Here is a 12895-nt window from a genome sequence, read left to right on the forward strand (position 1 = left end):
ACCTTCATTTTATAGATGAAGCAGCTGAAGGTCAGAAGAGTTCAATGACTTGCCCAGGATCACACAGAAAGCGAGTGGTGGAAGCCACGCTTAGCGGGTAAGCTTAGTAAAAAGCTTAGTAAAGAGATTGACTTAGTTTTCCATCAATTATTTTTCAATTGACAAAACTGTGATAACTCACAAAAACAGCTGAACATAAACAACATTTTAATTTGACTTAAGACTATACATATAATCAGTGTTGAAAGAAATAAATTCCTGGAAACAATTTGTAATCTTTCTTGCTAATCCTTAGCTGCTCATCATGGCTGAGTCTAATCTCGAAGGCATCTAGACTTGATTAAGATACCTTTACTAATGCACCCTAAATCTGTTATTAGCTTGACATCAGACACAGGACTTGAGGACAGCTTAGCAGCTCTTGACAGCAGCTGGCAGGAATTATGTAATGTGAGAGTCTTCTGGCTTTCAGAGACCACTTTCCTCCTCCAGGGCAGAAAACTCAGCTGTTTGGCCTTGGTTTTTGCGTCTGTAAAATGGGAGGTTGGGGGATAGGAACTAGATTACTAACTTCCCTTCAAAATTCATCCATCTAAAGAGACAACTTTGCACTCTGCTCATAAAAAAGATAAAAATCTTTCCAACAGGGATTTCCAAGAAGTGGCCTCTTGGTAGATATTTCTTGAAATATTATTCCATTCAATAAATATCTATTCCCACCTGACTGAAGTTCTTCGAGGACAACAATTATATCTTAGTGATCACTGTAACTCCAGCACCTAGTTCAGTGCTGGCCATTGAGTAGGTGCTCAGTATTTTTTAATTAATTAATTTTGAGATGGGGGTCTCAGTAGTTTCCCCAGGCTTAATCTTGAACTCCTGGTCTCAGGGAATCCTCCCACCTCAGCTTCCTGAGTAGCTGGGACTACAGGTGTGCATCACCACACCTGGCTCTAGGTGCTCAGTTAATACAAGGTGCAGAATCTCTGGGAGGCAGGGCAACACAATAGTGGTTTGTAACGTTCCCCAGGTGATTCCCATATACAGCCAGGCGAGGCCTGCCCGGCAACTACATGCAGAGAGGACCCCCGAGGCCTCTTTCCTCAGAAGGTAGCTGTGGTCATGGAGGGCACTCAGGGTGGCAAGGCCTGCTCCTGAAAAAGCCGTGAAAACCCAGAGGAGATGGAAGAGAAGAGGCCACCAACAAAGGATGGCCCCAACAGTGCTTCCCAGTGCCCACCCTGCAAAAGGGGCTTCTGTTTAGTACTAAGGACATGGAGTTCAGAGAGGCTGATAACTGGCCCCCGACCACACCCAGCCAGCAGCTCCAGGGTCTCTAGTCCTCACAGTCCCTGGCATTGCATCTGAGAGTAGGGGCAGAGCTAATGCCATCAGTAGGAGTCACTTTTGTCCCCTAACTTAGGGGAGACTGTCCTGTCCTTACAAAGGAATGTGTAAGCACAGCTGATCAACATCTGCATAAGGAAAGATGTTTCTTTATGCATTTCTGGCTCCATCGAGACTCGTGACTCAACCAGTCCTGTGGCTGCCAACCAGAAGCAGACTCAGCATTCAAGGACCATTTTCCATACCCCTATATCTGCATGCCCAACCAATCAGCAGCACCTCTACCCTACCCTAGACCCTGCCCACCAAACTATCTTTGAAAAACTAATCTTCAAGTTTTGGGGGAGACCGATTTGAGTAATAACTATTTCCTGTGTGCCCGGCCTTGTGTCAATTACTCTTTCTTTACTGCAATGCCATGGTCTCAGTGGATTGGTTTTGTCTGTGCAGTAGGCAGGAAGAACCCATCAGGTGATTACAGTACCTGCACCCCCAACCTGCTTTGGGAAGAATCCAGCCAAAAAACTTGAGGCCTGCAGCCTCAGGGTGAGAACAAGACAAAAGGGGGATGGAGGGAGATTGACTCGCTGTGTCTCAGCTCCAGAGCAGCCCCCCTGCAGCCTCCCAAGGGTTTATGCAAATCATCAAAGGGATTCCTTGAGGCAAAAGGTTTGAGTCTGCAGTTCTGAGACCCCCAAGGATGTGAGGAGAGACCCAGGCCTATCTCCTTTGGGAGGGGCCCCAAACTTGGGGGAAGGGATACTGGATGCCAACTGAAACCCAAACATAAAATTCTAAGCTCACCCAACCATCTGAATGGACTCCTCCTCTCCACTCAGCAAAGGGCATTCCAAAGTTAACCTGAAAACTAGTTCAGGCCATGATGGGAAGGGGAGCCCAGTCATGCCTAATTATACGATCCCTCCTTTTGGACTTACTGATAGAACAGACTCTTTAAGTCTGAAAGGAAACATTTACAGTCTATTCTCTCTGAAGCCTGCCACCTGGAGGCTTCACCTGCGTGATAAAACCTTGGTCTCCACAATCTCTTATCTTAACCCAAACATTCCTTTCTGTTGATTTTAAGTCTTTAGACAGTAATTTAACTCTTTCCACCAATTGCCAATCAGAAAATCTTTCGATCTACTTATAACCTGGAAGTCGTCCACTTCCCCAACCCCATTCCAGTTGTCCAGCCTTTCCAGATCAAACCACTGTACATGTCGCATATATTATTGATGTCCGATGTCTCCCTGAAACACATAAAACCAAGTTGTGGCCTGATCACCTTGGGCACATGTTCTCAGGATCTGCTGAAGGCTGTCATGGGCCATTGGTCATGCATAGTAGGCTCAAAATAAATCCCTTCAAATATTTTACAGAGTTTGACTCTTTTGGTTGACACACCAAGCTCAAGCAGGAAGAACCGGGCTCAAGAACTGTCTCTCTCCTTTCTCTCTGTTAGGCATGGGGGGGAAGGGAGTGTTGTGTTAGGCATGCGGAGGGGAAGGGAACAGGGTTGTGTGCAGAGGAAAATGCAAATTCTTACCTTGTCAGGGTCTCTGACCTGATGGCGACCCGTGGTGGAGTCTTCACAGAGACAGATACCACTGCAAGGGCAGACCCAGACTGTGCAACCCCCAAAGCAGGTCTCCTCACTCACCGGGATAGATAGAACTATCGGCCCCAATTCCTCAGCCCTACCTGCAACCACCGCTTGCCATGGTTTCCTTGTGGGTGGAGGGTACTTTCCCGCCCCCTGGTTTCGGGCTTGCCCACGTGGCTTGCTCTGGCCATGGAATGAAGCAGAAACGAAAGCCTGCCAGTTCTGAGCCTACGCCGGAAGACGCCTTGGGCGGTTCCGCGGTCCCTGTGCGCTTCCACCTTCACCCAGAAGGACTTCTCTGGTGCAGCCGCTGCTTCTTCAGCCACGGCCCAAAAGGATCGGAGCCCCCTGGCCGATCCGCAGGTCTGCAGGGAGCCACAGAGCGCAGCGGCCGGCCCAGCGTTCAAGCCCAAGCACAGGCCTGCGAGAACCTTGTTCCAGCCACCGTTTGGGATGGTTGATTAGGACTTGTTGCTGTGGCGGTAGCTCACCAATCCAATGCGTGCACCCGCTCCTTTATTAGGCTATAGGGCCAGTGGCTGCGACAGGGACCTGATACAACAGTGCGTTAAATAAGGAGCTTATTGAGCTATCATGTCGTAAGCCGGTGGAGAAGTCCAGGGCTAGTGTGGGGGCTCCGGCGGGGGCTGTGGCCCCCATCCGCATGGAGCCTCCCCACGGTTCACAGGTCTCGGTCTTCGGAGCCTTCAGCCCCGTGAGCCCGAACAGTCCACACGGCGGCGCCAGACCCTCTTCCCAACGCCACCCTCTGAAGCCTCCGCTCCAACCGTCTCCACTTCTGCTTCAGGCTCAGGATTTTCACTTTTCTCGAATGGGGGTGGCCCTCCCCTGATCTTCTGAGTCGCAACAGCATCTCCCTCCCTCCAGGACCTCAGAGCCAGAGCTGGGCGAGAGGCCCTGACCTCCGGGGTAGGGTGGCAGCATCCCTGTGAAGGTGCGGTCCTGCCTCCCATCCCCAGGCGCCCGGCCTCTCCCACCCTCAGCGCCCTGCTCACCGCCAGCTGAAGATGCCAGGGCACCTCTGCTTCCTCCCTGCCCTCTCTGCAGTATCGCAGAGTGAGCATAAAAGGGCTTAATATAGGCTTCACTGGTCGTGGTGGCTCGCGCCTGTGAACTCAGTAACTTGGGAGGCCAAGGCCGGAGGATCACTTGAGGCCAGGAGTTCAAAACCAGCCTGGGCAACAAGGTGAGGCCTGTCTCTAAAAAAAAAAAAAAAAAAAAAAAAGAAAAGAAAAGAATAAAATAGGTTCCTTTTTCTGGGAGATTGATGTAGGGGAGCGAGCGTGTGTGAGTTGGAAGGGAGGCATTGAGGATCAGCCATTTAAAGCAGCACACAAGGATGTTCAAGGCTAGAGATCCACAGGTGTATTTTCAGAAACTGAATTTCCTGGCTGGGCGTGGTGGCTCACACCTGTAATCCCAGCACTTTGGGAGGCCAAGGCAGGAGGATCACTTGAGGTCAGGAGTTCAAGACCAGCCTGGCCAACATGGTGAAATCTTGTTTCTACAAAAAATAAAAATAAAAATCAGCTGGGTGTGGTGGTGGGTGCCTGTAATCCAAGCTACTTGGGAGGCTACGGCAGGAGAATCACTTGAACCTGGAAGGTGGAGGTTGAGATCACACTACTGCACTCCAGCCTGGGTGACAGAGTGAGACTGTCTCCAGAAAAAATCCCAAAACAAACAAACAAAACCCCTGAATTTCCTTGTGGACACCTTTTCTCTGGCAGCCTTTTTGAATGAGGGCTATGTTTTCTCCAATACTATATGGCCTGCGGACCGCTCAGCTTTCATTCCAGTGAAAACATTCCAGAACAAACTCCGGGTCAATCCCAGGTGTTTTTCCAATCAACTCGGGATGATTGTGTGTCACCTGCCGCCCAGCTAGAATGACACCTCTCCAGGCCTCTGACTTAGCTAGATCTCCACCATGTGACTCCACCATAGACTCCATGCCTTCTTCTTTTGCAAACCCTCGGACACCCAAACACCTACCAATTTCAGCCCTTTCTGTGCAGGTGCCGGAGCCCAGGAAGCACACATCAAGGCTCGCTTGCCAGCAGGGTGCTGCCAATAAAATGTAGTCACATGGAATTTGGAATGTGGAAAGGAGGTAGAAGTCATCCTTTCTTCCCCCGTAGCAGCAGGCGTGCAGGCCTCTGGTGATCAGCTGGACTCCATACTCCCCCACCAGTCACCAGCCTGGGGACTGTGGGGCTGCAAGGACCTCAGCAGCGGTTTCCCAAGTTTTCTGACTTCTTCCATCCTCTGGAAATCAGCTGTGGTAAAGTAGCCTGAAAGCCAGTGGTGCAACCCCCTCCCCCCAACCTTCACCATCTCTAGCCCCTCCAGTGATAAGCACTAATTGCCTATATACAACCCCTATTTGTTTGAAATATCTAGAGTAATTTCTGTTTTCCTATCTGGGGTAGTGTAACATAAAAAGAAATATAAATATATATTGGTCTCTGCCCCCAGTTCCTAACACAAAGCTCCTAAAACCCTTGGAAATTCCTGAATGATGGGGATGCTAGGAGCATTGTCTTCTTTTTTTTCTAATTTATCATTTTTCTTTTTTTCCAGATGTTTTTTCCTTTTTTTTTTTTTAAACTTAGGGTATACATGTGCACATTTAACTTTTTTTTTTTTTTTTTTTGAGACGGAGTCTCGCTCTGTTGTCCAGGCTGGAGTGCAGTGGCACAATCTCGGCTCATTGCAAGCTCCACCTCCCGGGTTCACACCATTCTCCTGCCTCAGCCTCCCAAGTAGCTGGGATTACAGGCGCCCGCCACCACACCCGGCAAATTTTTTTTGTATTTTTTTAGTAGAGATGGAGTTTCACCATGTTAGTCAGGATGGTCTCGATCTCCCGACCTCATGATCCACCCGCCTCGGCCTCCCAAAGTGCTGGGATTACAGGCATGAGCCACTGCGCCTGGCTTTTTTTTTTTTTTTTTAACTTAGGGGATACATGTGCACTTTTTTAAAACTTAGGGGATACATGTGCACATTTGTTATATAGGTACACTTGTGTCACAGGGGTTTGTTGTACAGATTATTTCGTCACCCAGGTACTAAGCCTAGTACCCAGTAGTTTTTTCTGCTCCTCTCTCTCCTCCCACCCTCCATCCTTAGGTAGGCCCCAGTGTCTGTTATTCCCTTCTTTGTGATCATTAGTTCTCATCATTTAGCTCCCACTTACGTGAGAACATGCTGTATGTGGTTTTCTGCTGAGGATAATGGCCTCCAGCTCCATCCATGTTCCTGCAAAAGACCAGTCATTGTCCGTATTCTAACAACAGTTAGATATACCTGTTCAGAGGTGGGAAATGATACAGAAGGATGTGGTCCCTTTAAATGACACGGAAGGGGGGAAGGAGAGTGCTGGGTGGGGGTGTGTAGTCCCTGGCTAGGGCTCTACCCCCAGGCCTGTGCCCACGGACCTAAGTGAGGACAGGCATTTTTGTTTTCCTGCCCAAATGTTGCATTTCCCAAGACCTCCCCTGGCCTGCCACGCCCCCATCCTGTGCCTATAAAAACCCTGAGACACTTGCAGGCACACATACAAGGACATGGACAGGAGCAGATCGGCAGAAGAAGACACAAGCAGCTGGACATCAAGAGGGCGTGGAGGGGAGCACGCCAGGCAGGCCACCAACCGGCAGAACAGCAGAACGAGGCAGAGTTTGGCTGAGGCAGTGGGAGGACAGCCTGGGCTGCTCAGCAGCCCGGCTCCAGGGGAAAACCTTCCCACTCCACCCCCTTCTGGCTTTCCCCATCTGCTGAGAGCTACCTTCACTCAATAAAATCTTGCACTCATTCTCCAAGCCCAGGTGTGATCCAATTCTTCTGGTACACCAAGGCAAGAACCTGGGATACAGACAGCCCTCTGTCCTGGCGACAAGGTAGAGGGTCTAGTTGAGCTAGTTAACATAAGCCGCCTATAGACGGCAAAACTAAAAGAGCACACGGTAACACATGCCCACTGGGGCTTCAGGAGCTGTAAGCATTCACCCCTAGACACTGCCATGGGGTTGGAGCCCCAAAGCCTGCCTGTCTGTATGCTCCCCTCAAGGTTTGAGCAGCAGGGCACTGAAGAACCAAGTCACTCTCCCTGTCCCACGCCCTGCGAGGGGCCCAAAGGAACTTTTCTCATTTCAATATGGTGTCCAAGAAAGGGTGACACATCTCACAGAAGGCCTAGGCTCAGGAGGGCTGGAGTGTGAGACATTCCCCCTCCCCTGTGAACTTAAAAATGTGGCCAACAATTTTTTTTAAAAATGGCTACCCTGTAGTGCTTTAACTGGACCTATTTAGACAACGCCTTACATGCTGGAGAAGGACGATATACTATGTGAATCTAATAAGTCTACAAGACAATACTTCTCTCTTTTGGCTGTCTCCTTCCTCTCCAGGGTGATGACAACTCCGTGAGGGTTGTCTTCATTTCAGCAACAAGGAAATAAATTAATGATCCCAGAAGCCCCCAGTGTGCCCCTTTCCAATCATATCCCTCTCTCTAACCGTTATAGGTAACCACTATCCTGACTTTTGTAATAATATTCTTGCTTTTAAAATGTAGCTCTGGCCGGGCACGGTGGCTCACGCCTGTAATCCCAGCACTTTGGGAGGCCGGGGCGGGTGGATCACCTGAGGTCAGGAGTTTGAGGCCAGCCTGGCCAACATGGCGAAAACCTGTCTCTACTAAAAATACAAAAATTACCCAGGTGGTAGTGGCGTGTGCCTGTAATCCCAGCTACTCAGAGGAGGCTGAGGCAGGAGAATCGGTTAAACCTTGGAGACAGAGGTTGCAGTGAGCTAAGATAGCACCATCGCACTCCAGCCTGGGTGACAGAGTGAGACTCTGTCTCAAAATAAATAAATAAAAATAAATAAAAAAATAAGATAAATAAATAGTTCCGGCTGGGCACGGTGGCTCACACTTGTAATCACAGCACTTTGGGAGGCCAAGGCAGGAGGATTGCTTGAGCCCAGGAGTTCAAGACCAGTCTGAGCAATACAGCAGGACCTTGTCTCTAGAAAAAATTTAAAAATTAGCTGGGCATGTTGGTATGCACCTGTAGTCCCAGCTACTGGAGAGGCTGAGATGGGAGGATTGCTTGAGCATGGGAGGTCCAGGCTGCAGTGAGCCATGTTTGCACCACCGCAGACCCTTTCTCAAAAATAAATAAAATAAAATGTAGTTTTACCTATTATATGTCAGTCATAAACAATATAGTTTAGTTTTGCCACCTTGAACATTATATAACATTATATAAATGAAATCGTGTTATACATATTATTTTCTGTATCACTTCTTTCACTCAATAATTTGTACATTTAAGATGTATGTTGCTGAGCAATCACAAGTAAAAGAGTGGAGAAGGGGCCTAACAGTAAAAGAGAATGAGGAGAAGGAAGAGTTGACAAGCAAAGGTGAAAGCAGAAAGTCAGTTGTCCCTATGGCTTGGGGAGATAAAGGTGGCCCAGGAAGGCCTCCAGGAAAAGGCTGCCATGTCAGGCAGGACACAGAGGACAATTGAGGAAAGGTGATTCTTACAAGATGGTGAAGGTGCCATTGTGGGTGTTGGGCTCTGGCACAGGCACTTGGCGGAGCCTCTGCTCTGGGTTGAGATCAATACATGACAACATCTCATCTCCGCAGGTACAGAGCTCACATATGTTGGTGCTTGTGGAGGCCTTCTGTTCCTCTGGTGCAGTTAAAGCCTTATCTTGGATGTAACTTTCAGACTGCACCAATGAATCCTGAGTAGGTTCTAGCTCAGTAGGTGGACCTGTGACTTCAGTCAGTTTTCGATGCAGAGTCTGAAGCTGATCTGGATGAGGAGCTGTAGTCTTCCCCAGGGCTGTAGAATGTCCAATCTCTGTAGTGGGTTCTGGAGTTATGGCAAGCCCTGGGTCTGGAGGCTGAGTTGAGGTCTCCTCTGTGGTTGGAGACAGTTTAACCTCTGTAGTAGGTTCTGTAGTTATGGTAAGCTCCAGGTCCAGAGGTTCAACTGTGACTTGAGTCAGGTTTGAATGCTGGGTCTGAACCTGGTCTGGATGTGGAAGTGTCACCTTAGGGTGCTTTGGAGGAACTAAAGTCTTCTTCAGGGGTATAGAATGTCCAACCTCCGTAGTGGGTTCTGGAGTGATGGTAAGTCCCAGTCCAAAGGTTGAACTGTAATGCTGGGTGACATTGGATGCTGAGCTTGATCCTGACCTGGTGTTGGAACTGTTACCTCTTGATATACTGGAAGTTGTGCTACAACTTTCTTAGGAGGCTGAGTTGGGGTCTCCTGGACGACTGGAGAAAGTTCAACCTCCGTAGTGGATTCTGGAGTGATGGTAAGTCCCAGGTCCAAAGGTTGAACTGTGATACTGGGCAATATTGAATGCTGAGCTTGATCCTGACCTTGTGTTGGAACTGTCACCTCATAATGAGCTGGAGGTTGAGCTGCAACCTCCTTAGGTGGCTCTGGAGGCTGAGATGGGACCATCTGCTGGCTTGAAGGTTCTACCTCCTTAGGGGGCTCTGGAGTCTGAACTGTGGCCTCTTGCTGGGTTGGAGAAGGTTCTGCCTCCATAGGGGGCTCTGGAATCTGAGCTGGAATCTCCTGCTGAGTTAGAGATGGTTCTACCTCCTGAGGGAACTCTGGAGGCAAAGATGGGGCCATCTGCTGGGTCAGAGAGGGTTCTATCACCATAGGGGGGTTCTGAAGACTGAGCAGGGACTGCCTGCTGGACTGGAGAGGATTCTACCTCTTTAAGGGGCTCTAAAAGCTGAGTTGGGGCCTGCTATAGGACTGGAGATGGTTCGACCTTCTCAGGTGGCTCTGATGGCTGAGCTGGTATCTCCTGCTGCAGTGGAGGACTGACCTCTTCAGTGGACTTTGGAGGATGACCTGAGGCTTCCTGCTGGGTTGCAGATGGTTCAACCTCCTTAGGGGGCTCTGGTGGCTCAGCTGGAAACTCTTGCTGGACTGGAAAAGGTTCTACCTCCTTAGGGGAATCTGAAGTCTGAGCTGTGGCCTCCTGCTGGACTGGAGATTTAACCTTTTCAGGAGAATGCAGAGGTGGGGAAGGGAGATCAGGCTGGGCTAGAGAAAAGTCAGCCTGCTCAGTGGGAATAGAAGGGTTGTCCTGCTGGACTGGAGAAGGTTCAACTTCCATAGTGACGCTGCAGGTATGGTAAGCTCCATATCCACATTTTTAACTGTGGTATTAGGCAAAGTTGAATTACTTCTGAATACTGAAGACAGATCTAGAAGTGAAAATATCATCTCATCATTCAATGAACTTTCAAAGTCTGAGGAGAGCTGAGTTGGAGACTGAGTTGTGGGCTCTTGATGGACTGGAGTAAGTTCATCATTTTCAGGGGTATTTAGCTGCTGAATTATAATCTCTTGCTGGTATTTCAAATGTTGAAACTGCTCAGGAGACATTAAGGGCTGAGCTGGGGCCCCTTGTTGGGTTAAAATTTCAACCTGATTAGTGATATCTGGAGTCATGGTAACCACGTGATCCACAGGTTTAACAGTGGCATTGTGCAATGTTGGAGGCTAAACTTGATCATGACTTAGAGGGGAAACTGTTACCTCATGATGCTCTGGAGGTTGAGCTACAACTTCATTAGGGAGCTCTGGAGTCTGAGCTGGGGCCTCCTACTGGATTAGAGAAGACTCAACCTCCTTAGGGGTCTATGGACGCTCAGCTGCAGCCTCCTGCTGGGTTGGAGAGGGGTTCTCATTATTAATAGGTTCTGGAGATTGAACTGAAGTCTCCTGTTGAACTGTTAAAGGCTCAGCCTCTTCCAATGACTCTGGAGGCAGAGGTGGGCCCCCATGCTGGGTGGCAGAAATTTCTACATCATTAATTGGCCCTGAGAGCTGAGCTGTAGCCTCCTGGTGGACTGGAGAAGTTCCCACCTCTGCACTAGGCTCTGTTGCTATGGTGAGCTGCATGTCTGGAGGCCTAACAGTGACATTGGGCAAATCTGAATGCTGAGCTTGATGGTGACCTGGAGGTAAAACTGTGACTTCATGATGTTCTGGAGGCTGAGCTGGGGTCTCCTGCTGGGCTGGAGAAGATTCAACCTTTCCAGAAGACTCAGAAGGCTGAGCTGGCTGCTGCTGCTCACTGAGGGAAAGTTCAAGCTCCATAGGAGGACCTGGAGGCTCAGTTGCAGCCTCCTGTTGGGTTACAGAAGTTTCCACCTCCTCTGGAGGCTGAACTGGGGCCTCCTGCTGGGCTTGGGAAGATTCTGTCCCATTGGTAGGCTCTGAAGTTATGGTAACCTCCACATCCGCAGGTTTAACTCTAATGTTGGGTAAGTTATAATGAGCTTGATCCTCACCTGGAGGTTGAACTGTCACCTCATGATTCAGTAGAGTTTGAGCTAGACTCTCCATAGAGGACTCTGGAGTCTGAGCTGGGGCCTCCTGCTGGATCTGAGAAGGTTCAACCCCCCCAGGAAACTCAGAAGGCTGAGCCGGCTGCTCCTGCTCACTGGGGGAAGGTTCAGCCTCCACAGGAGAACCTAGAGGCTCAGCTGGGGTCTCTTGCTGGGTTGCAGGAGGTTTTGTCTCCTCAGGGCACTCTGGTGTCTGAGCTGGGGCCTCTAATTGGGTTAAGGAAGAGTCCACCTCCTCGGGGTGCCCTGGAGGCTGAGCTGCAGCCTGTTCCTGGCTTGACGTAAGTTCCTTACCTGGCTCTAGAGTTACTGCAAGCTCCATATCCACAGATTTGACTGTGACATTGGGCGGGCATGAGTGCTGAGCTTCACTCCAACTTTTCAATGGAACATTTACCTCGTGGTGTATCAATGGCGGAGCTACAAACTCTTCAGAGGCAGGTCGCTGCTGTCCTGGGGCCTCCTGCTCTGTTGAAGAAGAGTAGACCCCCTGAAGAGACTGTGAAGGCAGAGCTGGGGCCTCCTGATGGGTTAGAGAAGGTTCCTCCTCAGAGAGCTGTGGAAGCTGCACTGGGGCTTGTTGCTGAAGCGAAGAGGACTGGATGTCTTCAAGGGTCTCTGGATTTTGAGTTTCGGGCTCTAGATGGAATTGACAAAGTCCAGCTTGCTCAGGCAGTCCTGGAGGCTCATCTGAGTTCACCCAGAGTTCTGGAGGCAGGCTGCCGGGATACAGTATATCCATAATTGGATATTCATTCTGCTGAGGTTTTTTTTTTTTTTTTTTTTTTTTAAGACAGAGTCTCGCTCTGTCGCCCAGGCTGGAGTGCAGTGGCGCGATCTCGGTTCATTGCAACCTCTGCTTCCCAGGTTCACGCCATTCTCCTGCCTCAGCCTCCCAAGTAGCTGGGACTACATGCTCCCGCCACCACACCCGGCTAATTTTTTGTATTTTTAGTGGAGACGGGGTTTCTCCGTGTTAGCCAGGATGGTCTCGATCTCCTGACCTTGTGATCCGCCCACCTCGGCCTCCCAAAGTGCTGGGATTACAGGTGTGAGTCACCGCGCCCGGCCCATTCTGCTAAGGTTTTGATATAAATCGGTGTGGAGTTCCAACAGCCTTAGCAAGCTTCCGATGCTGAGCTAGATCTTTCTTCCTGTTCTTGGGCGAAACAATAAACTTGGTTGCTTTTGAATCCTTACTGTCTAGAGGTGGAACAAGTATTTCATCTGCCTGATGATCTGCAGCCTGATCTAGACCTGCAGTTTGAACCTTACTTTTGAGGCGAGGAGGCTGAACTAGGGTCTGGTTCTGATCCCAGTCCAGCATTGGAACCGCCTTTGGGAGCCTTTCTTGTCGAATCAGCCTGTCATTTAGATCCTGGTGTGCAGCAGAGAACTGCTTTGGCCCCGGGAGCAGCTCTCCAGCTGAATCCGTGTCCAGGAATGGAACCAAATGGGGCGGGGCTGACATCTGCGAGGTAGCAGAGGACCCCAGGTAATCAAAGCCC

At 49.7% G+C, this 12895-nt stretch overlaps 3 long non-coding RNA genes and 1 pseudogene across 4 annotated transcripts, besides 3 other annotated features; 2 read left to right on the forward strand and 2 right to left on the reverse strand.

Moving 5' to 3' along the window:
* Nucleotides 191–2983, reverse strand: LOC105371787 (uncharacterized). 2 transcript variants are annotated; one of them, XR_001752898.2, is made up of 2 exons: nt 2897–2983; nt 191–529 (listed from the first exon to the last, which is right to left on the reverse strand). It is a non-coding gene; the product is annotated as an uncharacterized LOC105371787 (long non-coding RNA). The 2 variants fall into 2 exon arrangements; XR_007065766.1 differs by lacking the exon at nt 2897–2983 and adding an exon at nt 2502–2588.
* Nucleotides 2789–3610: an enhancer, noted in NCBI's record as "H3K4me1 hESC enhancer chr17:41994398-41995219 (GRCh37/hg19 assembly coordinates)". NCBI's record gives its function as "activates a minimal SCP1, AML or CMV promoter by ChIP-STARR-seq in naive and primed H9 embryonic stem cells {active_cell/tissue: H9 hESC(naive and primed)}" and the evidence as "EXISTENCE:reporter gene assay evidence [ECO:0000049][PMID:30033119]".
* FAM215A (family with sequence similarity 215 member A) lies at nt 2967–3746 on the forward strand. The gene has a single exon (NR_026770.1). It is a non-coding gene; the product is annotated as a family with sequence similarity 215 member A (long non-coding RNA).
* Nucleotides 3611–4431: an enhancer, noted in NCBI's record as "H3K4me1 hESC enhancer chr17:41995220-41996040 (GRCh37/hg19 assembly coordinates)". NCBI's record gives its function as "activates a minimal SCP1, AML or CMV promoter by ChIP-STARR-seq in naive and primed H9 embryonic stem cells {active_cell/tissue: H9 hESC(naive and primed)}" and the evidence as "EXISTENCE:reporter gene assay evidence [ECO:0000049][PMID:30033119]".
* Nucleotides 4606–6801, forward strand: LOC107985086 (uncharacterized). Its single transcript, XR_001752899.2, has 2 exons — nt 4606–5258; nt 6531–6801. It is a non-coding gene; the product is annotated as an uncharacterized LOC107985086 (long non-coding RNA).
* Nucleotides 6069–6569: an enhancer, noted in NCBI's record as "H3K4me1 hESC enhancer chr17:41997678-41998178 (GRCh37/hg19 assembly coordinates)". NCBI's record gives its function as "activates a minimal SCP1, AML or CMV promoter by ChIP-STARR-seq in naive H9 embryonic stem cells {active_cell/tissue: H9 hESC(naive)}" and the evidence as "EXISTENCE:reporter gene assay evidence [ECO:0000049][PMID:30033119]".
* LRRC37A10P (leucine rich repeat containing 37 member A10, pseudogene) lies at nt 8535–12159 on the reverse strand (annotated as a pseudogene).

Source organism: Homo sapiens, chromosome 17 (genome assembly GCF_000001405.40).
Source record: "Homo sapiens chromosome 17, GRCh38.p14 Primary Assembly".
Taxonomy (NCBI): domain Eukaryota; kingdom Metazoa; phylum Chordata; class Mammalia; order Primates; family Hominidae; genus Homo; species Homo sapiens.